This window comes from Homo sapiens, chromosome X, assembly GCF_000001405.40.
Source record: "Homo sapiens chromosome X, GRCh38.p14 Primary Assembly".
Classification (NCBI taxonomy): domain Eukaryota; kingdom Metazoa; phylum Chordata; class Mammalia; order Primates; family Hominidae; genus Homo; species Homo sapiens.
The window spans coordinates 23,659,352-23,687,054 of NC_000023.11; the positions used below are offsets into that span (position 1 = coordinate 23,659,352).

The 27,703-nt window shown below is 40.9% G+C and overlaps 1 protein-coding gene across 1 annotated transcript, besides 6 other annotated features; it reads left to right on the top strand.

Moving 5' to 3' along the window:
• Nucleotides 463-1,068: an enhancer, noted in NCBI's record as "OCT4-NANOG-H3K27ac hESC enhancer chrX:23677931-23678536 (GRCh37/hg19 assembly coordinates)". NCBI's record gives its function as "activates a minimal SCP1, AML or CMV promoter by ChIP-STARR-seq in primed H9 embryonic stem cells {active_cell/tissue: H9 hESC(primed)}" and the evidence as "EXISTENCE:reporter gene assay evidence [ECO:0000049][PMID:30033119]".
• Nucleotides 1,069-1,674: an enhancer, noted in NCBI's record as "OCT4-NANOG-H3K27ac hESC enhancer chrX:23678537-23679142 (GRCh37/hg19 assembly coordinates)". NCBI's record gives its function as "activates a minimal SCP1, AML or CMV promoter by ChIP-STARR-seq in naive and primed H9 embryonic stem cells {active_cell/tissue: H9 hESC(naive and primed)}" and the evidence as "EXISTENCE:reporter gene assay evidence [ECO:0000049][PMID:30033119]".
• Nucleotides 5,123-5,657: an enhancer, noted in NCBI's record as "H3K27ac-H3K4me1 hESC enhancer chrX:23682591-23683125 (GRCh37/hg19 assembly coordinates)". NCBI's record gives its function as "activates a minimal SCP1, AML or CMV promoter by ChIP-STARR-seq in primed H9 embryonic stem cells {active_cell/tissue: H9 hESC(primed)}" and the evidence as "EXISTENCE:reporter gene assay evidence [ECO:0000049][PMID:30033119]".
• Nucleotides 7,901-8,195: an enhancer, noted in NCBI's record as "tiled region #11823; HepG2 Activating DNase unmatched - State 1:Tss, and K562 Activating DNase matched - State 1:Tss". NCBI's record gives its function as "activates a minimal TATA promoter and a strong SV40 promoter by Sharpr-MPRA in HepG2 and K562 cells {active_cell/tissue: HepG2 | K562}" and the evidence as "EXISTENCE:reporter gene assay evidence [ECO:0000049][PMID:27701403]".
• Nucleotides 7,945-8,124: a silencer, noted in NCBI's record as "silent region_20703". NCBI's record gives its function as "represses an Ori minimal core promoter by ATAC-STARR-seq in GM12878 lymphoblastoid cells {active_cell/tissue: GM12878}" and the evidence as "EXISTENCE:reporter gene assay evidence [ECO:0000049][PMID:35858748]".
• Nucleotides 8,142-27,046, top strand: PRDX4 (peroxiredoxin 4). The gene is made up of 7 exons (NM_006406.2): nt 8,142-8,460; nt 12,178-12,295; nt 15,639-15,755; nt 19,814-19,936; nt 23,045-23,175; nt 24,320-24,354; nt 26,934-27,046. Exons 1-7 carry the CDS (start codon nt 8,220-8,222, stop codon nt 26,982-26,984), a joined length of 816 nt encoding a protein of 271 aa, NP_006397.1. The 5' UTR covers nt 8,142-8,219; the 3' UTR covers nt 26,985-27,046.
• Nucleotides 8,475-8,604: a silencer, noted in NCBI's record as "silent region_20704". NCBI's record gives its function as "represses an Ori minimal core promoter by ATAC-STARR-seq in GM12878 lymphoblastoid cells {active_cell/tissue: GM12878}" and the evidence as "EXISTENCE:reporter gene assay evidence [ECO:0000049][PMID:35858748]".

Consider the following 27,703-nt stretch of genomic DNA (forward strand, 5'->3'; position numbering starts at 1 on the left):
ACAAACATTTCTCAAACTCACGGTTTGTGTAGATCATGAATTCTGGAATGGCGGAGCTGGGAGGTTCTGGCCCAGTGCATCTCGTGAGGCTGTAGTCAAGATGTCAGCTGGGGCTGCAACATCAAAATTGACTGCAGGTGGAAGGTCTACTTTCAAGGAGATACAGTCACAAGGCTGGCAAGGTGGTGCTGGTAGTTAATGAGAGATCTGTTTCTTCCCACGTGGGCCTCTCCAAAGGCTGTTTGTATGTCCTCACAACCTGGTAGATGACTTCTTCTAGAATGAGAGAGGAACAAATATTGCTTCCCCATTACCTCAAGCAAATGACAAAAAACTTCAGAAAGCTTGGCTTTTATCTCCTGCAGGTTAAGGATTGCAGGAAATAGTATTTGACTCATACAAGTAAAGTCTAGAGGCTGGGGCTAGAGCAGTTCCTGGCAGAAGGAACAATAAAAATGGGATGCTTGGACATAACCTGAACTACCAGCAAATGCAGAAAAATCTGTGTTTCCAAGGAACAAATATGGATCCTGAAGGGGTGGCCTGCCCCTCCACACCTGTGGGTGTTTCTCGTCGGGTGGGATGAGAGACTGAGAAAAGAGACACAGAGACAAACTATAGAGAAAGAAAAGTGAGCCCAGGGGACCGGCACTCAGCATACCGAGGACCCACGCCGGCACCAGTCTCTGAGTTCCCTCGGTATTTATTGATCATTATCTCTACCATTTCAGAGAGGGGGATGTGGCAGCACAATAGAGTAATAGTGGGGAGAGGGTGAGCAGGAAAACATGTGAACAAATGTCTCTGCATCATAAACAAGGTTAAAGAAAAAAGTGCTGTGCTTTTGATGTGCATATACATAAACAGCAGTATTGCCTCCAGCATGTCTCACCTCCAGCCCTAAGGCTGTTTTCTCCTATCACAGTAGATGGAATATACAATGGGGTTTTACACCGAGGCATTCCATTGCCCAGGGACGAGCAGGAGACAGATGCCTTCCTCTTATCTCAACAGCAAAGAGGCCTTCCTCTTTTACTAATCCTCCTCAGCACAGACCCTTTACGGGTGTCGGGCTGGGGGACGGTCAGGTCTTTCCCTTCCCACGAGGCCACATTTCAGACTATCACATGGGGAGAAACCTTGGACAATACCTGGTTTTCCTAGGTAGAGGTCCCTGCGGCCTTCCGTACTGTTTTGTGTCCCTGGGTACTTGAGAGTAGGGAGTGGTGGTGACTTTTAACAAGCATGCTGCCTTCAAGCATTTGTTTAACAAAGCACATCCTGCATAGCCCTAAATCCATTTAACCCTGAGTTGACACAGCACAGGTTTCTGTGAGCACAGGGTTGGGGGTAGGGTTACAGATTAACAGCATCTCAAGGCAGAAGAATTTTTCTTAGTACAGAACAAAATGGAGTCTCTTACGTCTACTTCTTTCTACATAGACACAGTACCAGTCTGATCTCTCTCTCTTTTCCCCACAGGATCCCACAAAAGGGAGTGGCCTGAGATTACCTTAAAAGGAAAAATAGCTAAGTGGGCCACCCACTGGGGTGGAAGGACCCCAACACAGGGATGGGCTACAAAAGGCCTAGGGACTGAGGGGAAGCCTAAGTGGCCAGAGGAAAGACACTGGATGTGGCAGGGTCATGTACTCTGAGGTCCCTCAAGGAACCTGCAAATATCCCCATTTACTGTGTCAGACAAGGATTTCCTCCATATCACCAAGCCCTAAGGCTATATTGCAACTTTGCGAACCATGCAAGGGTATGCCCTTCTCCCACAAGCCTGCTACTTTCCGGGCCCCCGCTGTAGATCAGAAACAGTGTGTGGTGAAATCAAGTTTACATATGAACATTTACGTGACCATTGACTAATATTTGTGAGCATCAGTGGAATTTTAGCTTGATAATAGCAGGAACATGTCTATTTTGTTACTGCTGCCTCCCAGTGACAGTGTCTGGCACATAGTAAGTGCTCAAAAACTATTCCTGATCCCTACCTCACATGTTACACAAAATTAACTCAAATGGACCAAATACCTAAATATAAAAACGATAACTATAAAACTCTTAGAAGAAGAAGAGAGGTTTTTATCTTCATGACCTTAGATTAAGCAATGGCTTCTTAAAAATGGCACCAAACATACAAGCAACCAAAAAACAGAGACAACTTGTACTTCAACAAAATTAAACTGTTTTACATCAAAGACCCTAGCAAGAAAGTTAAAAGACAATCCACAGAATAGGAGAAAATATTTGTAAATCATACATCTGATAAAGGTTTAGTATCCAGAATATAAAAAGAATTTGTATAACTCAATGACAAAAGGAAAATAACCCAATTATTACATAGGCAAAAGATTTAAGTGGACATTTCTCCAAAGATGATATACAAATGGCCAAAGAACACATAAAAAGATGCTCAACATCATTAGTCATTTAAGAAATGCAAATCAAAACCACAAAGAGATACAATCTCACACCATTAGGATGACTATAACCAAAAAAAAAAAAAAATGGGCAATAACAAGTGTTGAAGAGGCTGTAGAGAAATTGGAACCCTCAAACATTGCTGGTGTGAATGAAAAATGGTGCAGCTGCTGTGGAAAACGCTTTGGCAGGTCTTCAAAAAGTTAAACATAGAGTTACCATATGGTCCAACAATTCCACTCTAGGTATATACCCAACAGAACTAAAACTACATGTTAACACAAAAACTTGTATGAGAATGTTCATAGCATCATTGTTCAAAATAGCCTAAAAGTGTAAGCAACACAAATATCCATCAATTTATCAATGGATAAACAAAATTGGTATATCAACAATGGAATATTATTAAGCCATAAAAAGCAATGAAGTACCAATACACACTACAACATGGATAAACTTTGAAAACATTAAGAAGCCAGGCACAAACGGACAAATATTGTATGATCTTACTTATATGGGGTGTCTAGAAGTATTCAAATTCATGGAGACAGAAAGTAGAATATTGGTTTCCAGTGCATAGGGGGAAAGGGAGACAGAGATTTATTGCTAATTGGTTACAGTTTCAGTTTCGGAAGATGAAAAAATTCCGGAGGATGTGGTGATGAGTGCACAACAGTGTGAATGTACTTTATGTCACTGAACTGCAAAAATGGTAAAAATACTTAAAAATGGTTAAAATGGTAAATTTTACATTATGTATATTTTACCACAATAAAAAAGGAATGAAGTACTAACATGATACAACTTGGATGAATCTTGAAAACATTATGCTTAAGTAAAAGAAGACACAAATGATTCCATTTAAATAAAATGTCCAGAATAAGCAAATCTAGAGAGAGAAAAAGTAAATTAGCTGTTGTATGGAGGGATGTTGCTTGTTGGATAGGAGGAAGGGAGAAATTGAGAGTGATTAATAGGTAGGAGGCTTCTTTTAGGGGTGTATATATAAGTGTTCTGGAATCAAATAGTGGTGAGCACAAAGCACAGCATTGTGACTATACTAACAACCACTTTATATTTTATTCTTAAAAATGAAAAAATCATGTTTTGTGAATTTTGTCTCAATTTAAAAATTGGGCAGATAGTCTTCCCCCAGAATGAGTAATCTAAGCACAAGACAGACAGAAAGTATCTTTTTATGACGCAGCCTCAGAAGCAACAAAGCATTACTTCTGCCATATTCATCAGAAGTGAGTACCTAAGTCTGGCCCACATTCAAAGTGAGGCTTAACATTTACCCTATCATTTCAGTTTCACAACATAGGGAAACTATTACTGTCTTCCATGTGCAGATAAACACACTGAGGCTCAGAGAGGTTGAATAAACTTACCAAGGCCACAAGGCCAATAGATGGCAGAGCTCCTATTTGAATTTAAAAATACCTGACTCCACAACCTGTGCTTTTAACTACCATCAGTGGTGGTTCTTAATTTGCCCATTTGTGAAACCTATTTGTGCCCATTTGTGAAACCAAAAATGCTTGGGGCCTCCCAAAAACCTATTGAAACATCATTTCTAAGCCAGGCACGGTGGCTCATGCCTGTAATCCCAGCACTTTGGGAGGCCGAGGCGGGCGGATCACGAGGTCAGGAGTTCGAGACCAGCCTGGCCAGCACAGTGAAACCCCATCTCTACTAAAAAAATACAAAAAATTAGCCAGGCATGGTGGTGTGTGCCTGTAATCCCACCTACTCGGGAGACCGAGGTAGGAGAATTGCTTGAACCCGGTAGGCGGAGGTTGCAGCAAGCTGAGATCATGCCACTACACTCCAGCCTGGGTAACACAGCGAGACTCCATCTCAAAAAAAAGAAGGAAACATCACTTCTGGGCCTGTAATCACAGCACTTGAATGGTTTTGTTGGTTGGTTGGTTGGTTTTGTTTTTTTGTTTGTTTGAGACGGAGTCTCACTCTGTTGCCCAGGCTGGAGTGCAGTGACGCAATCTTGGCTCACTGTAATCTCCGCCTTCCAGGCTCCATCAATTCTCCTGCCTCAGCCTCCTGAGTAGCTGGGATTACAGGTGTGCACCACCACGCCCGGCTAATTTTTGTATTTTTAGTAGAGACCGGGTTTCACCATGTTGGTCAGGGTGGTCTTGAACTCCTGACCTCTAGTGATCCGCCTTTCTTGGCCTCCCACAGTGTTAGGATTACAGGCGTGAGCCACCGCGCCCAGACAGAATGTTTTTAAGCTCCCCAAGTGTTTCTGAGGTGCATCCTGGATTTGGAACCTGCCCCCTGTCTCTGATGGTTTTGTATTATTAATATGGGCTACTGACTCCAGCTGGATGGTAAGTATCTTGAGGGCAGGGCCCCCACCTCAAGCTTCCTTGTTGATGTCACTGTGATATCACAATGTCTGCACAAATATCATTGGATGAAAGGATTCAGAGCAACTGCCACCCAGAATGTCAGTTGCCAGGGAGCTCCAACAGAACTGAGGGACGAACAGTAGGTGCCTGAGAGCTGGCCGATCTGGTCACTCTCTCCAGTGGGCCACAGGGGCCCACTTGGTGGGCAGTCTCTGCTGCCAGCTAGGGCATCTCAGCTCAGCCCAGAGCAAAGACGTGTAGGGACATAACGCTTTCCTCAAGCTTCCTTTCCCAGGTCCAAACTTAGAGGCCCAGTTTTGGGCCTAGAATTCACTGAGGTTTGTGGCTGTTTGTCCAACAGTCACCATGGATCACCGAAGCCGACTACGGGGCACAGGCCTGAACCGAATCCCTGGGACTCAGTCCCGAGCCCCCCGAGTCCCACTCCCCTTCCACGTGCAACAGGAGGCCAGGGAAGGAGAAGACTGGGAGCGAGAGCCACCTCGTCAGAGGCCTCCTATCTATGAGCCACCAGAAAGTGAAGAGCTGCCAGATAATGTTATGGGTAAGGACACACCCTCCCTCAGCAGAAGGAGGCTGGCATCATCTTTTTCATCCTTTACCTCCAGGAAGCAGGGGCCGGGAGGCAGAAAGCAGAGTATACAGTGGGCAGAACTAGGGTGAGGGATGAGTTTGGAAAGGGGAAATTTTCTATCTGCCACAAAAGATTGTTTCACAAGGAGTAAGGATAAAATATGTGAAAGCAACTTGAAACTGAGGCTGTCTGCAATATTAGGTGTTATTTATAAAATCAGGTGTTTGCAATGTCAGTTGCTTACTGTGGGCCAGGTTCTTTGGGAAACAAAGACCTATTACACATTGATTTCAGCCCCAGACAGCCCACAGTCTAGTAGAGGAAAGACAAACTTAGGATGGTTTCTGCAGGATTCAGAAAGATAACAGGTGCTTACAGAAAACAAACTTAACATGTTCTCACTTAATTGTGGGAGCTAAAAATTAAAACAATTGAACTCATAGAGATAGAGAGTAGAAGAATGGTTACTAGAGGCTGGGAAGGGTAGTGGGGGGCTGGGGAGGAAAGTGGGGATGGTTAGTGGGTACAGAAATATAGAATGAATAAGACCTAGTATTTGATAGCACAACAGGGTGACTATAGTCAATAACAATTTAATTGTATACCCTAAAATAACTAAAAGAGTATAATTGGATTGTTTGTAACACAAATGATAAATGCTTGAGGTGATGGATAACCCATTTGCCATGATGTGATTGTTACACACTGTGTGCCTGAATCAAAATATCCCATATACCCCATAAATATATATATATACATATACATATATATATACATATACCTACTATGTAGCCACAAAAAATTTTTTTTAATTTAAAAAGAAAGATAACAAGCACTTGCAGGAGGACAGAGGGCACCCTGGGATCATACAGGCTCATGCCTGTAATCCCAGCACTTTGGGAGGCCAAGGTGGGCGGATCACAATTAGCTGGGCATGGTGGCGCGCACCTGTAATCCCAGCTACTCGGCAGGCCGAGGCAGGAGAATTACTTGAACCTGGGAGGTGGAGGTTGCAGTGAGCCGAGATTGCCACTGCACTCCAGCCTGTGCGACAGAGCGAGACTCTGTCTAAAAAAAAAAAAAAAAAAAAAAACAACCTAACACAGGGTTAAGTTGCAACATTGCCTGTTTGCCCCATAGTTCCTTTCCAGCTGGAAGAGAAGAAATGGTCTAGGGATATGGCTTTTCAGGTTAGACTTTTCTTCTCCAAGTTTTCTGGGGACCTGAAAAGGGCTCCGACTTGAGAGAGGAGTCATGGCTGTTCACAAAGATCACTGCAAGGAAAAGAATAAGAAATGTCTGTTAGAGGGATAAAACGCGAGCTATTCAGAGGCAGAAAGGTCAGTTTCCCTTTGAGGGGCGGGGGTGGCGTGGGATGAGGAGGCTTTTTGGGAGAGATGGGCGTGGAAGGATGTCTAACAAGTGCTGGCGGCGAGGGTCGTTGGCACTTCAATGGTGGGAAGACAGCCATGGGCGAAGCTTTGTGGAAGAAATAGGTGTGAAGGATGAGAAGGCCTACAACAGTGCTGAGGGCGCGAGGCCAGTCACCTGCGAAGTTTTGTGTACAAGATGGGCCCAGAAGGATGAACAGGGTCTAAAACAGTGCTGAGGGTGGGAGTGCAGAAGATCGGTCACAAGTGACGACACAAGGTGGTCTTAGTCCAGTTGGTGGACGCTCGGTGGCCTGGGCCTGCCCCCAGTGCGCAGACGCACACGGCAGGTTGCAGCGGCAAGCGGGGCGGTGCCCACGGCGGGGAGATGGGTGGGGAGGGCAGGGAAAAGGCCAGGGGTTGGGTGATGGGGTAATTGTCAGAAAAAGGAACAACACTGCTGGGAGAGTTTTCTGGTAACTTTTCAAGTCTTCATTTAAATTAAAAAAAAAAAAAGCTGTCTTTGAAACAATAGATTAGGTCACTAAAAACTGCCTGTACGCCCTTGCATGCTGGAGGAAAGTAAATGGTTAGACCTACCCTCCCTAAGTTTTTCCAGGACTTAAAAGAGCTGCAAGTAGTGCAGATCATGGCCCCGTTCACACAAATCACTTCAAGAAAAAAAATTAGTAAATGTCTATTAGATCTTGAAACTTATTCCTGTCTATCTGGAACTTGGTAACCTCTGACCAACAACTAACTCCCCATTCCTTCCCTCTCGCCTCGCCTTCCCTACTTCCCAACCTCTGGTAAGCAGCAGGGTAAATACAGTCAATAATAATGTATATTTCAAAATGAATAAGAGTAAATTTGAAATGTCTCACCATAAAAGTCATAGGTAAACAAGGCGATGGATAAGTTAATGTGATGTAATCATCCCACATTGGATACATATTTCAAAAAATCACATTGCATCCCACGAATGTATACAATTATGATTTGTCAAGTAAATATAATTTTTAAAAACGTTAAGTGACTTTTTAAAAAGCTTATTAGAAGTATAAAATGCAAGCCATTCACAAGCATATAGGTTAGATTCCGCTTGTGAGGGGCTTGTGTGCAGTGGTGAGGCTTTGTGGAAGAGATGGACGTGGAAAGATGTCTAAAACAGCGCGGAGGTCAGGAGACCTTGTCGCTGCCTTCACAGAGTTGGGCAACGCTCCCGGTCCTGGTCAGCCGCGGGACGCAGGCGCAAATGCAGGCTTGGGATGGGGGAGGTGCGGCCGGCGCCCACGTGGCGGGGCGGGGAGCAGATAGGGGGGGTAGGGGGAGGAGCTGGTCTCGCGAGGCCGCGCCCCGGTTCGCGCGGGCGTCGTGCACGCGGTTGTAGCTGCCCGGCGGCGGCAGAAGCGGCGCTCGCGCCAAGGGACGTGTTTCTGCGCTCGCGTGGTCATGGAGGCGCTGCCGCTGCTAGCCGCGACAACTCCGGACCACGGCCGCCACCGAAGGCTGCTTCTGCTGCCGCTACTGCTGTTCCTGCTGCCGGCTGGAGCTGTGCAGGGCTGGGAGACAGAGGAGAGGCCCCGGACTCGCGAAGAGGAGTGCCACTTCTACGCGGGTGGACAAGTGTACCCGGGAGAGGCATCCCGGGTATCGGTCGCCGACCACTCCCTGCACCTAAGCAAAGCGAAGAGTAGGTGGTGTCCCGCCAAAGGGTGGGAGGGGAGATTCCGGAGACACGTGTACCCCGGTTACACCCCCGGAATCTGGGCTTGGGCGGCACCCCCTGGGCTGCCTCCGGGCCCTGGGCGGGCCTGGTTCTCACCTAGGAGGGCGGGGAGGGGAATAAAGGGGAGTTCTAGCTGTGAAGAAAGGTATGGTTTCCACTGATCAGATTTTAGAAGAGGTAGTGGTTACCCCAAAAGCCGCAGCTGAGGGAAAGTGGGTGGCCCTAGTCCCGAGTTTGCATCGAGGATGTTGGGCAAACTGAAACAGTTCCTGAAACATCTCAAAGTGCCTTCAGCACATCCTGTCTTTTTCAGGTACTATTTCAGCGAAGGAAGACATTGATAGGTTGAATAATGATTCACAAAAAGTTTGATTAAACAGAAAAGTTGCTAAACACAGTGCTCGGGAGGTCAAACATTTCATTTTTCTTTCTTCCTTTTTGTTTGCATCTTACAAAGATTATTACTGAAAGCCACCTTCCCCAAAGCCTGTGTAGTTAATGGATATTCCTTATGTTTCTCAGACATGAAGAACCTATTACAGAGTGTACTTTTGAGGGAAATGGGGGAAAAGGTTAGAAGTATGCATTTGGGTTGATGATAAACCTCGTGGCAAATTTGTGTCCTGCCAATTTGGTTTTTGATTATTTGCATTTCTGTCCAGTGTACAAAGCTAATGGCCACTTTCAGGAATGACACGTCAGACGAAGTAGATACTGTGAAAGTTGTAGCCTGCTACATCTGGATGTTAAAATTAACCAAAAGTGAACAGTGGCTATAGATAAAGGCTGTCTCTTGCTTGCTATTCAGTAACCTGCTTTTCCTGCAGATCATTTGACATTCTGTAGGTGTGTAGTTGGTTTTTATGGTTCAGTTACAGCATGTTCCATGCCAGTATTCAGTGAAAAAAGTAATGCTTCAAATTCTGAATCCCTAGAGTTAAATGGAATGTTGTTATGACTTAGGATGGGTTGGTTGGGAGTGATAAATGAGAAAAACTGTTTTGTCCTCTTAAACATTTACAGTTCTTACTTGCTGAAAGTAAGTACTTTCAGTTAACCACTTTGGGACTTTTTTTTTTTTTTTATTTGAGATGAAGTCTTGCTCTGTCACCCAGGCACCCAGGCTGGAGTGCGGTCGCGCGATCTCGGCTCACTGCAACCTCCGCCGCCCGGGTTCAAGCGATTCTTCTGCCTCAGCCTCCCAGGTAGCTGGGACTACAGGCGCGCACCACCACACCCGGCTATTTTTTGTATTTTTAGTAGAGACGGGGTTTCACTATATTGGCCAGGCTGGTCTGGAACTCCTGACCTCATGATCCGCCTGCCTTGGCCTCCCAAAGTGCTGAGATTACAGGCGTGAGCCACGGTGCCCAGCCTACTTTGAGATTTTTAACAAAACCAGTCTTAAATTTTAAAATCAGTATTTCCAAGTCCCACTGGTTTTACTTGCCTGGGAAAGTATTTTAAATATGTCAGCCAGTTAAGTGTTTACTTACATTACATATATTTTCCATAGGAAACAAATCTACTTCAAAGCTTTCCCTTTACCAGCAAAACTTAACATTTTAGTTGTTTACTACATTTCTCTGTCACATGTAGGCTTATCTATAATTAAAGATACAAAGACTTTTGTTAGTAAAGACTATTATGGAGCCATTAAGGCCATATTTTCAAATAATTTTTAGTAATATCAAAAACTGTTCATAATTAATTTACTGTTTCCTTTAAGGAGAAAAAAAAGGCGGGATGCAACACGTGGCAAATTTGTGTTTAAAAAAGAACGGAAAGGCCAGGTGTGGTGGCTCACGTCTATAATTTCAGCACTTTGGGAGGCCGAGGCCATCCGATCACCTGAGGTCGGGAGTTCGAGACCAGACTGGCCAGCATGGTGAAACCCTGTGTCTACTAAAAATACAAAAATTAGCCGGGTGTGATGGCGCATACCTGTAATCCCAGCTACTGGGCAGGCTGAGGCAAGAGAATCCCTTGAACCCGGGAGGCGGAAGTTGCAGTGAGCCCAGATCACACCACTGCACTCCAGCCTGGGCGACAGACTGAGACTCTTGTCTCAAAAAAAAAAAAAGTAAATAACTAAAATTAAAAAAAATAAGACTAGAAAGACAGACATCAGAATGTTAACAGTAGTTGATGGGAGTTATGGAGAGAGAGGATTTAAGTATTCTTTGTACTTCTCTGCATTTACCAGAATCTTTATGTTAATTACATAATTTATATTCAAGACAATTTTTGTTTTTTTAATAAATGCAAGGGATTGCTTTGGGAATTCCATTTATAGATCTTAGCAAAGTAACTACCATTCTTAACCAAATATTTCCAAAATCAATTTTCAGAACAAAATTTATTTTTCAAATATGGTTTTCCCAGTATGCTAAAATCATTAAGGCGTGTCATTGTAATAGATCATTACAATTATTATAACCTCTCACTTGAGTAGCATTTTAAGTAATTTATTTAAAGTATATATAATTGAATACTCTTCTGCTGTCTATTTCTCCCTCCTGGCCTTTACCTAATCAGATCAGGATTATATATATGAGGTAGGATGCTGGCTCAAGATAAGTAATCATATGTTATATATTAATTTTTAAGAGAAATTCATGTTGTTTGTCTCTATTTTGGAGTGACCATAAATGGTGGCTGTTACAGAGAAGTATAAGCCTTACTTTCTAGGACCCTTAGCCAAACTTAGAAGCAAGCATTGACTTCAGTGTTTGTAAGGGGTCTGAAAGTATAAGTGCTATCTGAATGTGTTAACAGAGCATGAAGGTGCATTAGTATCTAAGTGTGTTGGCTAAAATTACTGTACGCCCTTACAAGAGAGCAGCATGAACTGTTCAGTTTCCATTGGGTCACTTGAAACCTGTTCAAGGGAGTCTTCTTTCAAAGCCCTCTAGGAAAATGATCCCATGGTCTGGGATTTTACACTTCTGGCCTGACATATTTGTACATTCCCTCCTCATTTTGTGTAGCCTCATCTGCAGCAGGTCCTCCATGTGTATGTCAGAAGCTGGACAAACTAGTACATCTGGAAGACTGCCATTAGAGAAAGGAAAATCTAATTATTTGAAATGTAGGAAGTTGACAACTTGAAGCGGGACTATAGTGAAGTATCCAGGAGGGTTTAGTGCAGGGTAGAATTTAAGGGGTCTGTGAGCATGAATAGGGGAAAAAAGTATTTATTTTCACTAATCCCCATCTGAAATTTAGTGTTTCCTTCTATTATGAATGTCAGCAACAAACTACACTATCTTCAGCAGCACTTGCTTGTACCTTTCACCAATAGAATCACTTATTTTCTTGCTACATATGGTTATCGCAGGTATCCTGAAACACCATTTTCACTCATCATTATCTTACGTAGTTGTCAGATTACAACTAGATCTTGCAGTTTTGAAGTGTTATAGAGCACATGTATTATGATATCACCAATTTTTTTTAATATTTTTATAATTGCATTTAAATACAATTGGTTTCTTTTGTAATTCTATGTATTTTCCTTTTTGCATTCAATAACACTCTTTTAAGAAGTCTGTAAGCTTCACCAGACTGCCAAAGAGATCTAAAGGTAGCCCTGATTTTTAGTGATTTTCTAAAGATGTCCTTCTACCATTCCACCAACTTTCTCAGTGTTACAGAACATCATGTATTTTATTTTCTTAGTTTCCAAGCCAGCGCCCTACTGGGAAGGAACAGCTGTGATCGATGGAGAATTTAAGGAGCTGAAGTTAACTGATTATCGTGGGAAATACTTGGTTTTCTTCTTCTACCCACTTGATTTGTAAGTAATACATGTAAATAGCTAGTAAAATCTCAGTCTTTATCAATTATTTTTCAGGAGTATCAAACAAATTATTTTGTTCAGCTCTTGGTTTTTAAAAAGGCAAGCTGAAGTAAAGAAATGTATTTAAAAAGGTAACATCTACCATATATTTCAGAGTCATAACACACCGACCTCAATACTTATGTCTACATGATTATGTTATAATGGAATAATTAGAGGAAAGCTACAATATATTCATTAAGCTATACCTACTAAGGCAAGAAAATGGACTGATAATATATTAGAAAGCATTTAATAGCAAGACCTATGCCATAATTCTTTTTACTGTATCTCTCTTGATTAGAAAATTAATTCTGTAATCCCAGCACTTTGGGAGGCCAAGGCAGGTGGATTACAAGGTCAAGAGATCGAGACCATCCTGGCCAACATGGTAAAACCCCATCTCTACTAAAAATGCAAAAATTAGCTGGGCGTGGTGGTACGCGCCTGTAGTCCCAGCTACTCGGGAGGCTGAGGCAGGAGAATTGCTTGAACCCTGGAGGCGGAGGTTGCAGTAAGCTGAGATAGTGCCACTGCACTCCAGCCTGGCGACAGCGAGACTCCATCTCAAAAAGAAAAGAAAAAGAAAATTAAGCCATTTTCTCTAGTGATACCATGTAACTGTGGTTTTTCCATTTTTATTCTTTGCTGCATCTGTTGCTTTTCTGGGATTTGAACATTTTGCTGAAAATATTATATACTGCTTAAGGAATAAGGAATAACACCTGTGTATATGTTATGGTTATTGTGGGGTTTCTCGTCTTTTTTTAACTCTGTGACAGTGAGCGTTTTTGTATATGGTCAGAAAGTTGACTAAAAGTAAATACCCTTACAGCTTTATTCACGTTGAGGATTTAATTTTATTTTACAAAACACTATTTTGAGTGTTTTTCAAAATTCATGAAAGTGAGAAGAGACCAAAAAGAGTTATGTCAATTTTTATCTTTTATTCTCTTGGAACTTACTTTTTGGTTACAACAAATAACTAGAAGTTTCCTCCTCTATCTTTGCCACTGTGCCTTTTTCCATTAGGACTAATCTGGAACTACATAGATCAAATTTAAACTTGCAGGGAGGGTATACTTAAGCTCATTGCTATAGGTTGTTTCTAGGCCAGGGATTAACAAATTTTTTCTGCTGGATTTGGCCTATTGACCTATTTGCCAACCCCTGCTCTAAGCCACAAAGGAAGAATTCTCATGAAAATTATTACATTGAGACTAAAGTTATGAGTCTGCATAATATATAATCTTTTAAATTATAAGAACTTGCTTCTTTCTAATCAACTCATATTGTGACTTGATTTTTTTAAGTATAGCTTAATTTCTAATAGAAACCAGAAGTAGAAATTTCAGTAGACATAAAAAATGACAGGCCTTCTAAATTCATGTTGTTATAAAACCAGAAGGTTAACATGTATGTTAAATATATACGACTAACACCCTGAATTTGGAAGTTAGTCTAATGTAGCAGAAAAATATGTTCTGTGTTTCTCCATTGTTATTCATAACTCCATAATGGGTAAGAGATAGTTAATTGGAGCATGTTGTTAGCAATGGTCTTCTGGGACAAGGAGCTAAGATAGCCTCTTCCTGTTTTCATGTAATGCTGGACTGTGCCTGGTTAGAGAAGGAAGAATTCTGGGGCATTTGCCACAGTCTACAAGGAGGAAAGTTACAAACGTAACCCTTCAGTTTCCTGCCAAAACTTTTTCTGTCTTCACTAAGAAGTTGGTCAAATGTATCTCTAGGTAGCATTCCTTGAAATAAGAAGAAAGGCAGAGGCTGGGTGCAGTGGCTCACGCCTGTAATCCCAGCACTTTGGGAGGCCAACATGGGCGGATCACCTGAGGTCAGGAGTTCTAGACCAGCCTGGCCAACAAGGTGAAACCCCGTCTCTACTGAAAATACAAACAAAATTACCCGGGCGTGGTGGTGGGCGTTTGTAGTCCCAGTTACTCAGCAGGCTGAGGCAGGAGAATTGCTTGAACCCGGGAGGCGGAGGTTGCAGTGAGCTGAGATCGCGCCACTGCACTCCAGCCTGGGTGACAGAGTGAGACCCTGCCACAAAAAAAAAAAAAAAGGAAGGCTGAGGCTGACCATTCCTACCCTTTAGAAAATATTAAAAATACATTTTATAGCCCAGGTTTCCAGGGACATCATCCGAGATTAGAACTGTCTACTTGGACATGACAGTGCTGTACCTGAATACCTGAAACATGTTAAAATCCTGTATTGGTATCTGGTAGGAACTTGTGCCCTAACTAAGTCTATGTTTTTCAAACTTTCTTGACCATGTCTCACAGTAGGAAATACATTTTTCGTTGTCAGCCAGTACACAGGCACATATATATACGGTAACATTCCATCTGGATGCACCAGCACAGCCATGCTCCTTAAAATACTGAAAAACCCTCATATCATGTGGTAAATAGCCACTTCCCTTTCCTCACCAACTAGTTAGTCCTCCTGCCTGATCCCTTTCAGAAACCTCCAGAACTAAAGCCAGCTTTGAGTTAAGATTGTTAAATATTTTGAATATCATCACTGTTGAAGACAAACATATATATTTGTATATATAAATATGTGTTTCATAATTTACCCTTAGTATGTATGATAGAGTCTCCTGTTTTCTATTCGATTTCACTTTTTAAAAATATTTTTTAGAACTCAGTTAATTTAAGGAGTCCCTACCACGGTTTGAAAAAATGCCACCCTAGTAATATTCTGTAAACATGGCCTGACAACATGAGGGTATTAAGGTATAAAATCCCTGGCTGCACAGGACTGGTAGACAAGGTGGAAGAGGACCTTATCAAGAAAGGAGGGGTGGGGGTACTGGAAAACATTGCCTCCTCTCCAAAATACACATAGATGCATCTAATTCATAGGGTTGGTATAGGAATATTAAAAAAAAAATAGTGAAATGACATAAAATTTGTATAGATCCTTTGAAAGCTATAAAATACTATATAAATAAAAGGTATTATTAAATAAAAGTAATAAAATGAGGGGTGGCTATTGCTATAAGGGAGAAGGGAACATTGGTTGACTACTGATCTATTAAGTTGTAATAAGAAAGTTTATTGAGATGTAGTTGGGAACTCTGTAATATGTTTCTGTCTTAAATATTTGATTAAATGACAGTCTTTTAGACTACTCCATTTTGAAAAGGTTCAAATATAAAATTGTTCTTAATGTGCATTTTTATTATTAAAGGTATTTGTAAAAATTGTCATTTGAAAGTTTAGGTATATGCTTATTTGGAGAATACTGAATATTTTTTTTTTTTTACCTTTCAGCACATTTGTGTGTCCAACTGAAATTATCGCTTTTGGCGACAGACTTGAAGAATTCAGATCTATAAATACTGAAGTGGTAGCATGCTCTGTTGATTCACAGTTTACCCATTTGGCCTGGTCAGTATCTTACACTTATATTCGTAGAAAAAAAAGAATGGATTTACTCTTAAAGCATGGACAGATAACTCTTGATATGATATAAGAATATAGTCATTTATCAGACAATTCAGGAATAGCTTTATCTAAGAGTAATACATGTAACTACACATTTTCCAGGTTAAAAAAAGAGAGAAGAGTAATATAATCAGCTGCTATAATAAAAATGCTTAAGGATTTTATAGGACATTTCAAAATAAGGGGAAAAGTTAAATGCAATAGATGTGATTTCTATAGCGAAAACCACTGAATTATATGCTTATGATAAATTGGGTTACCATAATCTGGAGGAAAAAAATCTTTAAAATATGCCATTTCTCTGTTACACAGTTATATAGTCAAACTCAGCTTTTACAATTTTGAAGAAACAATACTTTTTAAAAATGAATTTTAAAAAATGTTTAAAAATTCATTAATCATAAAAAGATGTTTTACCTAAATTCGTTATAAAGAATTGCAAATTAAAATGACGAGATGCCAATTTTCCCTGTCTGGTTGGCCAAGATTTAAAAGATTGAAAAAATGTATCCACTGTGGACAAAAATTGAAGAAACGGCACTCACACACAGCTGTTTAGCATTTCTGGAGAGCAGTTGGGCAACATGTCTCAAAATTGGAAATTTACATGTTAATATGAGTTTTTATAGTGTCCACAGTCTTGTGCAGAAAACTTTGTGCACAATAAAGACCATTCAGAATTGGGCTGGGCACAGTGGCTCATGCCTCTAATCCCAGCACTTTGGGAGGCCGAGGCAGGCAGATCACCTGAGGTCGGGAGTTCGAGACCAGCCTGACCAACATGGAGAAACCCCGTCTCTACTAAAAATACAAAATTAGCCAGGCGTGGTAGCAGGTGCCTGTAATCCCAGCAACTCAGGAGGCTGAGGCAGGAGAATCACTTGAACCCAGGAGGTGGAGGTTGCAGTGAGCCGAGGTCACGCCATTGCACTCCAGCCTGGGCAACTGGGCAATGAGAGTGAAACTCCATCTCAAAAAAAAAAAAAAAAAAAAAAAAAAAAAAAGATTCAGAACTATTGGTTTTAAAACATAATATTCAATTTATTAAAGTTACAAATTTGAAACACAAGCTTTTCTCATTTATAATCTGTGTGTGTATAACAAATTTTCATTGCTTGGTGAGCTACAATTTAATTAATTACATTTCCCTAAGAAATTAATTCCCATAAGTATTTTTAAATGCAGTTATATATTTAATATATTTGAATTCCTTAAGTATCTCAATTTTCAGACAAACCTTCCCAAATACTTAAGTAGTTCTAATATGCCAAATTCTCTTAAACATTATAAATAACTTAACATATAAATATGTACTGATTATTTCTTAATGTAAAAATATTAAAATAGCCTGGCATGGTGGCTCACGCCTATAATCCCAGCACTTTGGGAGGTCAAAGCAGGAGAATCATTTCAACCCAGGAGTTCAAGACCAGCCTGGGCAACATAGTGAGACCCCATCTATACAAAAAATAAAAAAAATTAGCCAGGTCTGGTGGTGCATGCCTGTGGTCCCAGCTACTCGGGAGCCTGAGATGGAAGGATGACCTGAGCCTAGGTGGTCGAGGCTGTAGTGAGCCAAGATCATACCACTGCACTTCAGCCTGGGCAATAGAGTGAGATCCTGTCTCAAAAAAAAAAAAAAAATTAAAATATAGGCTTAATTTGCTTCATCATTTCCTTTAAAAAAAGAAAGACAGGGTCTTACTATGTTGCCCAGGCTGGAGTGCAGTGGCACAATCAATCATAGCTCCCTGCAGCCTTGAACTCCTGGGCTCCAACAATCCTTCTACCTCCCCAAATAGTTGGGACTGCAAGCTTGCACCACCATACCTATTTTAATTTTTATTTTTGTAGAGATGGAGTCTTGCCATGTTGCCCGGGCTGTGCTTCATCACTTCTGTAGTAATTATAAATCTTCCGAGGATTAAAATGCATATCCACTAAGGAAAAAGTTATGGCATCCCAAATAATTTGGGATTGCTTTCCCAAGGAAATTTGGGGATACATTCTCAGCCTGATAGGGTTCACATCAACCAGAAATTTCTACTTGGGTGTCAGAACTGGGGCTCCAGATATCTAGAGCAATGTCGTTTTGTTTTCTATCTGCTGTGTCAGTACCCTCCTGTTAGAGCATCAGCCCATGTCTCCTGGTTTCAAGTTACAGAATACAGATTGAGCGTCCCTAACCTGAAATCCACAGTGTTCCAAAATTCAAAATTTGAGTGCTGACATGATGCTCAAAGGAAATGCTTAGTGAAGCATTTCAGAGTTCAGATTAGGGATGTTCAACCAGTAAGTATGCAGATATACCAAAATCGGAAAAAATCCTAAATCCAAAACACTTCTGGTCCCAAGCACTTCCGATAAGGGATACTCAACCTGTAGTGAAGACTGAGGCATCTGATATTATAACTCACTTCCTTCACTGCTTCAAGTGGACTTTGCATTTGTCTCTCAGAATATTAAAATGTCATCCATTTGTATCCTGCCTGTCTGTTCAAGGCTTTATCTTATGATCACACTACTAAGGTTATGCTTTTGATACTACGTATCTTTTGATCTATCAGTTTCACTTTCAGAAATCAATTAGACAAGTGTATAAAAGTAAGAATACAAGGATGTTTTCAGCAGTGTTTATAAAGCAAAAAAAAAAGGTAAATGGTTTAAATCTTCATCATGGAATTAAGTAAAATACAGTAAAGATGTTCCTGACTTACGATGGTTTGACGTATAATTTTTCAACTTTACAGTGGGTTTATGGGATAGTAAATACATTTTTAGCTAATGATATTTTCAATTTATGATGTGTTTATCAAGACACAGCCCCAGCCGGGCACAGTGGCCTGTAATCCCAGCACTTTGGGAGGCCAAGGTGGGCGGATCACCTGAGGTCAAGTGTTTGAGACCAGCCTGGCCAACGTGGCGAAACCCCATCTCTATTAAAAATACGAAAAATAGCTGGGCGTGGTGGCGGGTGCCTGTAATCCCAGCTACTTACAAGGTTGAGGCAGCAGAATCACTTGAACCTGGGAGGCAGAGGTTGCAGTAAGCCAAGATCGTGCCATTGCACTCCAGCCTGGGTGACAGAGCAAGACTCCATCTCAAAAAAAAAAAAGAAAGAAAGAAACAACCCCATCTTAAGTCAAGGAGTATCTGTGTATCCATACATTAAAAATGTGTTATAGGCCAGGCGCGGTGGCTCACGCCTGTAATCCCAGTACTTTGGGAGGCCAAGCCGGGTGGATCACCTGAGGTCAGGAGTTCGAGACCAGCCTGGCCAACATGGTAAATCCCTGACTCTACTAAAAATGCAAAAATCAGCCAGGTGTGGTGGCACATGCCTGTAATCCCAGCTACTTGGGAAGCTGAGGCAGGAGAATCGCTTGAACCTGGGAGGCAGAGGTTGCAGTGAACCGAGATCACGCTGCTGCACTCCAGCCTGGGCGACAGAGCAAGACTCCGTCTCAGAAAAAACAAAAATGTGTTGTAGGCTGAGCACAATGGCTCACGGCTATAATCCCAGCACTTTGGGAGGGTGAAGCAGGAGGATTGCTTGAAGCCAGGAGTTCGAGACCAGCCTGGGTAACAAAGCCACACCCCATCTCTACAAAAAAGTGTTTAAAACATTAGCCCAGTGGGATGGTGCACACCTGTAGTCCCAGCTTCTCAGGGGGCTGAGGCAAGAGGATCGCTTGAGCCTAGAAGTTTTAGGCTACGCTGAGCTATGATCACGTCACTGCCCTGCAGCCTGGGAGACAGAGCAAGACCCTGTCTCAAAAACATAAAATAAAAATGTGTTGTGTATATATATTTTTAATGTTTAAAGGATATGAATATATTAAATGGGAAAAGCAAGAAAATAGAAAGTATATTAGCCTGTTTTTGTTAGTGAAAGAATGTGTGTATTTCATGTGTGTGCGTGTGCATGTATAGAGAAAGAGTGCTGTTTTAATATATGCCGTTTACTTAGCTCTGAGAGGTAAGCGTTCTGTTTGTTACAGGATTAATACCCCTCGAAGACAAGGAGGACTTGGGCCAATAAGGATTCCACTTCTTTCAGATTTGACCCATCAGATCTCAAAGGACTATGGTGTATACCTAGAGGACTCAGGCCACACTCTTAGGTACCTTTCAGTGGTTTTATATTATGACAAATCCAAGCGTGTTTATAATCCTCCTTGAAATAGATGTTATTTATGAAATAGAAGAACAAATTTTGATCAAGAAATATAATTTTGAGGCCAGGCACGGTAGCTCAAGCCTGTAATCCTGGCACTTTGGGAGGCCACGGTGGGCAGATTACTTGAGGTCAGGAGTTTGAGACCAGCCTGGCCAACATGGTGAAACCCTGTCTCTACCAAAAAATATAAAAATTACCCAGGCATGGTGGCGTATGCCTGTAGTCCCAGCTACTCGGGAGGCTGAGGTGGGAGAATTGCTTGAACCTGGGAGGCGGAGGTTTCAGTGAGCCCAGATCATGCCACTGCACTCCAGCCTGGGCGACAGAGTGAAAAAAAAAAAAAAGAAATAATTGGCTGGGCATGGTGGCTCACGCCTATAATCCCAGCACTTTGGGAGGCCGAGGGGGGCAGATCATGATGTCAAGATATCGAGACTATCCTGGCCAACCAACATGGTGAAACCCCATCTTTACTAAAAAATACAAAAATTAGCTGGGCATAGTGGCATACGCTTGTAGTCCCAGCTACTCGGGAGGCTGAGGCAGGAGAATCGCTCGAACCCAGGAGGCGGAGGTTGCGGTGAGGCGAGATCACGCCACCGCACTCCAGCCCAGGCGACAGAGCAAGACTCCGTCTCAAAAAGAAAAAAAGAAAGAAAGAAAAATGTTACTTTGTTCTATTAGTCTTTAAACTACTAAACTTAAACCGTTAGTTTATATTACCCTGATTAAACTATGTTAGCATCATAGACTTTTAGAGCTGGAAGATTATTTAGAGGTCTTTCACCCACCCTGTCATCTTACAGATAAAAGAGACAGATTCATAGAGTTCCGTGATCTTAGCCAAAGTTATATAATAATTTAATTGCAGAGCCCAGACTTAAATCCAGGTCCCCCAACTCCTTGTCCATTTCTTTTTCCTTTTTTGCAACCTGACTCCAGTAATGTTTTTTTCTAAATACAAGTGTCATACTACTTAGCAAACCTGTGTCTTTGGAGTAGGAAAAATTAAGGAAATATTTTACCCAGACGCTCTCACTGGGTTACTTGAGCTAACAAACATTAATAGAATTCTTTGAAAAGGGGGCAATTTTAGTGTGGAACAGTTGTAATTTGGTTGTATTGATTTGCTTTGTAGTGCCAATAGTTTTTCTTGAATGTTTTATGTGAAAGTGTCAGTATTTTATAATCCTGTGTTTTTTTATAACAACTTTATTGGAATATAGTTCACATATAATACAATACCCATTTAAAGAATACAATTCAGCTGGGCATGGTAGTTCATGCCTGTAATCCCAGCTCTTTGGGAGACCTAGGTGGGAGGATCCCTTGAGCCCAGGAGTTTGAGACTAGTCTGGGCAACATAACAAGACCCTTGTCTTCTACAAAAAAAAAAAAATAATTTTTTTTTGTTAAATTAGGCCATTGTGGTGGCACATTCCTGTAGTCCCAGCCTACTCAAGAGGCTGAGATAAGAGGATCGCTAGAGCCTGGAAGTTCAAGGTTGCAATGATCTATGATCACACCACTGCACTCTCGCCTGGGTAACAAGAGTGAGACCCTGTCTCTAAAAAAATAATTAAAATTAAAAATAAAGAATACATAGCCGGGCGCAGTGGCTCACGCCTGTAATCCCAGCACTTTGGGAGGCCAAGGCAGGCGGATCACGAGGTCAGGAGATCGAGACCATCCTGGCTAACACGGTGAAACCCCATCTCTACTAAAAAAAATAGAAAAAATTAGCCGGGCGTGGTGGCGGGTGCCTGTAGTCCCAGCTACTCGGGAAGCTGAGGCAGGAGAATGGCGTGAACCCTGGGGGGCGGAGTCTGCAGTGAGCCGAGATCGCGCCACTGCACTTCAGCCTGGGCGACAGCGAGACTCCGTCTCAAAAAAAAATAAATAAATAAAGAATACATTTCAGTGGTTTTTGTGTATTCACAGAGTTGTGCAACCATCACCACAATTTTAGAATGTTTTCATGCTCCAAAAAACCCCATACCCATTAGCAGTCACTCCATGTTTCCCCTAACCCACTTCCCCTGGCTTTAGGCAACCACAAATCTACTTTATGTCTCTATAGTTGCCTATTCTGGACATTTCATATAAATGGAATCCTACAATATGTGCTTTTATGACTAGCCTCTTTCACGCAGCATAATGTTCTCAAGGTTCATTGTATTGTATCATGTATTGCTACCAGTAGTTTCCCCTCTTTTGTACTTGCTAAGTATTTAATGTTTTCTGCTTTCATAAAATCTGTTACTAAGTTAATTTCCAAGAATAAATATGCCCCAAAAACGACTGAGGCAGTTTTAAAATGTGGAATCATTTGAACATTAACCAAGTAAAATTATCTAACGTTAGCTATATTATTTGACCTGAGCCAGTAGTTTCTTTTTAAAATTTTTTTGTTAAGGCCGGGCATGGTGGCTCACGCCTGTAATCCCAGCACTTTGGGAGGCCGAGGCAGGTAGATTGCTCAAGTCCAGCAGTTTGAGACTAGCCTGGGCAACATGGCGAAACCCTGTTTGTACAAAAAATACAAAAATTAGCTGGGCGTGGTGGCACACACCTGTAGTCCCAGCTACTCAGTAGGCTGTGGCGAGAGGATCACTTGAGCCCAAGAGGTTGAGGCTGCAGTGAGCCGAGATCATGCCACTGCACTTCAGCCTGGGCAACAGAGTGAGATCCTGTTTGAAAACAAATAAAAAATTTATTATTTATTTTCAAAATAATACATGTACATATGCACATAGTTTTTAAAGGTCAGATTATCTTCAACAACTGTAAATACTCTGGTACATTTCTTAGCCAAAAACAAATTTTTAAAGCTGCAGTTTTACAGTGATAATTCCAAATTATACATTAGATTGAGGGAGGGATGTCCACAGGTGTGTGTACGTGTGTGTGTGTGTGTGTGTGTATACCATTGGAGTAGGTAGGTAGTGTGGTGTTTGTTCTGTATAGCATCCTTTTGTGTGGATGGTATAGGAATTCACAATACATAAATGAGAAGAAATGACCTCATCTCTACCATTCTTCTGTTTTACAGAGGTCTCTTCATTATTGATGACAAAGGAATCCTAAGACAAATTACTCTGAATGATCTTCCTGTGGGTAGATCAGTGGATGAGACACTACGTTTGGTTCAAGCATTCCAGTACACTGACAAACACGGAGAAGGTACCTCTCCCTTCTAACCTTTTGATTTTTTAGTTTGAAAGATAGCATAATTAGTTAGGTTTCTTATCGTAAAAGTAATCGATATTTCCAAAGTTTTCTGATTATTTACAAATTATTAGCAGATCCTTTTAACAGACCAAATTATAATTTACAGTGCTTTAACAAAATATCAGGCCAGGCATGGTGGCTCATGCCTGAAATCCCAGCATTTTGGGAGGCCAAGGTAGGAGGATTGCTTGAGCTCAGGAATTCAAGACCAGCCTGGGCAACCCAGTGAAACCTCACCTCTACTAAAAATCAAAAAAAAAAAAAAAAAAAAAAAAAAAAATATATATATATATATATATATATAAACTAATATATTCTGCTTACTAAATGAGATGCAAAAATATTCACTATTTGCATAGTCCTTTTTGATAAACTCAAAGACAAAAGTTTCTGCTACTGCAATTTTTAAAATTATGTTTCTGCAAGCTTAGAATGTGTCAATCTGGCAACATTTAGTGATGTAGTTTTCATTTGCCTCTTTGCATTATTGAATTTAGCCTTTTAAATAATCCTTGATCACTTCTCTGCCTTTCAGCTAAGATGAAGTATAGTAATGTAATCTCTGGGCTTATTCAGTATCACATTTGTAATCTACAAGTTCATCATTTTGCTAAAATAGAACACATTATATATTCCTTTTAAAAATGTCACTGAGTCAGGATGCATTCTAATGTCTCTTTTGACAAACAGTGAATCATGTCATCAGTACAAAGTACTGAAGTATACATGGCAAACAAGCGTACTGGAAGTTTATGTAAATTTGGAGGAATTTTTGCCATGCCCAGGCCTTTCAGCTCACCAGATTCCCAAACTTTCCAACTGTATTAGAGGGGCAATCAATTTGATTTCTTATATTTTAAATGTAACTAAACATAATTGGTAAAAATGAAAATAGATTAGCTGCCTGCTTATGAGCTCCATGACTAAAATTCCTTGGTGTCAACAGGCAGCTAATAGAAGTCATGTGCTCGGTGGTCTGGAAATGTTCTTATTAGTATATTCTATTCAGTTTCATATAGAAACAGAAAAAGTCAGTTGCTGAAGGTAACTGAATTCTGTTTTTAAAATGTCTTCTGCCTCTTTTTGTTTCTTTTAGTCTGCCCTGCTGGCTGGAAACCTGGTAGTGAAACAGTAAGTATATATATATGTTTTTATGTTGAGTTGATGGTTAGAGTTGAAAAAAATGCTGGCCGGGCGCAGTGGCTCACGCCTGTAATCCCAGCACTTTGGGAGGCTGAGGCGGGCAGATCACGAGGTCAGGAGATGGAGACCATCCTGGCTAACATGGTGAAATCCGTCTCTACTAAAATACAAAAAAAAAAAATTAGCCGGGCATGGTGGTGGGTGCCTGTAGTCCCAGCTACTCGGGAGGCTGAGGCAGGAGAATGGCATGAACCCGGGAGGTGGAGGTTGCAGTGAGCCGAGATCATGCCACTGCACTCCATGCTGGGCGACAGAGCAAGACTCCTTCTCAAAAAAAAAAAAAAAAAAATGCTAACCTTAGAATAATCTTCCCTTGTTACTAGAACTGTCTTGATTTTGTAAATGAAGTAAACATTGCTAAGCAGAAATCAGAGTACAGACATTCTTTGGCCTGTAGGAAGAGTAGCTGAAACCGGAGAAAGCAGAATATGGGGCGTGATGCTGTGAATTTTAAAGCCAGGTATACAGATAAATACACCGTTCGAAAAAAAAAAGTAGGGCAGAGTGGAGACTTGGTAGAATAATTCAGAGGTCTTATAGGTCATGTATCGAATTTCTTCCTGTATTGGGACAAAGAAAACAGTCACAAGCAAAACCTTTCTATGCATAGTAAGAGGTTTTGAGAAAATCTAGCTCAATTAATACTGAAGATAATGATTCTCTCCTTGTCATGAAGAAAGAAAAGATTGAAACACGTATATTCTTTCATTTAGGAGGCTGTATAATTTTTTTTTCTTTTTTGAGACGGAGTCTTGCTCTGTCGCCCAGACTGGAGTGCAGTGGCATGATCTGGGCTCACTGCAACCTCCGCCTCCAGGGTTCATGCAATTCTCATGCCTCAGCCCCCTAAGTAGCTGGGACTACAAGCCTGCACCACCACACCCAGCTAATTTTTGTATTTTTTGGTAGAGACAGGGTTTCACCATGTTGGCCAGGCTGGTCTCAAACTCCTGACCTCAAGCGATCCACCCACCTCAGCCTCCCAAAGTGCTGGGATTACAGGCATGAGGCACCGCTCCTGGCCCAACCAACCTATTTATGAAAGCATTTATTACCACAACCTAAAATTAGAATTAGGATATAACTCCAAGGGCAGGGACTTTGGCTGTGTTGTTCACTAATAAATACTGCCTATCATAATACCTTGAATAGTTTCCATATAGTGAGTCTGTTGAAAGAACGTCCAAACACATAAATATATACAACTATTATTTGTCAATCAATCAAAAATTAAAAAGAATGACCACCACAGTATGTGATAACACGTATGCATTTTTCTGGAGGGAGAATCCATAGTTTTCACCAGATTCTCAGAGATTTGTGGCCCCCAAAAGTTAATCATGTAAATAGTCAACATGTTTTCCGAAATGTCCGGTACTCATCCTATAATACCTTTCAGAGTGAAATTGTACTTCTTGGGAGCTCTCACTGATCTCTGGGAACTTGGACACCTAGCACATGCCTGTGATTGGAGATGATGTTTTCATCAGTCACAGAGGGTTTTGCTGCACCTCCAGGGGGAAGTGCCCCCTACCTTGAAGATGTGTCTGAAATGCTTTTTAAGGCTTCTTAAGCTGCTGCTTAAGCCAGCAGCTTCTGATTCATATTTCTTTCTATAAGCCTCATAATCAACAAATGTAAACTAATGTGACTGATTTATACTTTAAGGTACCTAGTGGTCAAAGTACCTTTAATGTGTAATTTCAAATCCCCTTTGAGATCCATCAGATTAACATAGAGATGAGTAAGTTTGCTATTGTAACATTAACTTTGACCTCAAAGCAAAACTGTTTTGCAAACCCATCAGAAATTGATTCAGAATCAGTCAATTACAAAAGTTACAATAAGTTATTTTTATATATATAAAGATAGATGTACTTTACCTATAACTAGCAAATAACATAATGTGAGGCCAAATTATATTGGAAATTTTTTTTAAGTCTAACAGGATTCTAAGGCTGTGATGCTCTTAGAGGGAACACAACAGTATTCATTAACTATTGACAGTAGTGCTTGATGTATTTGAGTTTGGGTTTTTTTTTTGTTTTTTTTTTTTTACTTTGCAGCTTGAGATTTAAAAGGTGTATTCTGGACTTTAGTGAGCCCTTAGTGAACACCTGCCTCCTTTTCAGATAATTGTGACATACCATCATTTTAGCAGCATGATTTTAAAAGTACATTAACATCTGTAGCCATGCTCTCTAAATGTGTTTGACTTAATTAGATCAAACCTGAAGATACCATGAAAGCCTGGTGGCCAAGAGAGAGCTGTAAGTAAGTTTTGGGGTGCTTGAGTACAGATGTTAATTTATTCACACAAAATAAAAATATTTGTCTTTTGGAATAGCCGAAATTAGTAGGCAGGACAAATCTCATTTTTTTCTAAATATACAATCTGATATACAAAAATAATTTTTAGTCAAGGCATGGGCAACTAATGTCAGACTACTCATTATGTACTTTGGCTTTAAAATGAATAATTTCCTTTCTTCGTTTTGTTTTAACAGATAATCCCAGATCCAGCTGGAAAGCTGAAGTATTTCGATAAACTGAATTGAGAAATACTTCTTCAAGTTATGATGCTTGAAAGTTCTCAATAAAGTTCACGGTTTCATTACCACATTGTGTTGCAGTAGTAATTTCTTGGAGAATATAAAAATCCACATCAAAGTCCAAAGATATTTAGCGTTAGCGTTAGACACTGATGCCAAAAGACAAGCAGTTATTCTCTGTCTTTCCAAAGGAAGAAATGGGAGATTGAATCAAACTGAGTAATAGCAATAATGACATTTACGGGGTACATGCCATGTGCCAGGCCTTGTGTTAAGCAGGTTAGGGGCATTATTTAATCCTCACAGCAACTCATTGAGTTCTTTATTTTACAGATGAGGAAACTGAAGTGCAGGTAGATTACTTACTTACCCAAAGTCACATAGCTAGCTAGCAAAGGCAAAATCCGACCTTGCACCCAGACAGGCTAATTCTAGTTTCTGAGCTCTTAACACTCCACTGTGGCTCACCTCTCCATACCTTTGAGGGTAGCGGTAAAGAACGGGTTGTGAGCACACTCACCTTCCACAGTAATAGGAATAGCTGGCCCCATGGCCCACTGCTCTGTAATAACATAAAGCCTTTTGCCCCCGCCGCCATCTCTAAATTTACATCTTCAGCTTGTACCAAATTTATAAGTTAGATATTTAGTTTAACAAAATTTGAATCCTTAAATACATATAACTAGCTCTTAACAAATGACCATATACAAAGCTGAACTCCAGTG

What these genes read in the sequence shown, in the direction of transcription:
- PRDX4 (NM_006406.2), top strand. Translation starts at nt 8,220, where the DNA reads ATGGAGGCGCTGCCGCTGCTAGCCGCGACAACTCCGGACCACGGCCGC. An exon ending in CAGTTTACCCATTTGGCCTG is followed by an intron (nt 15,756 to 19,813) that starts GTCAGTATCTTA and finishes TGTTTGTTACAG; the next exon opens with GATTAATACCCCTCGAAGAC. An exon ending in GGAAACCTGGTAGTGAAACA is followed by an intron (nt 24,355 to 26,933) that starts GTAAGTATATAT and finishes TTGTTTTAACAG; the next exon opens with ATAATCCCAGATCCAGCTGG.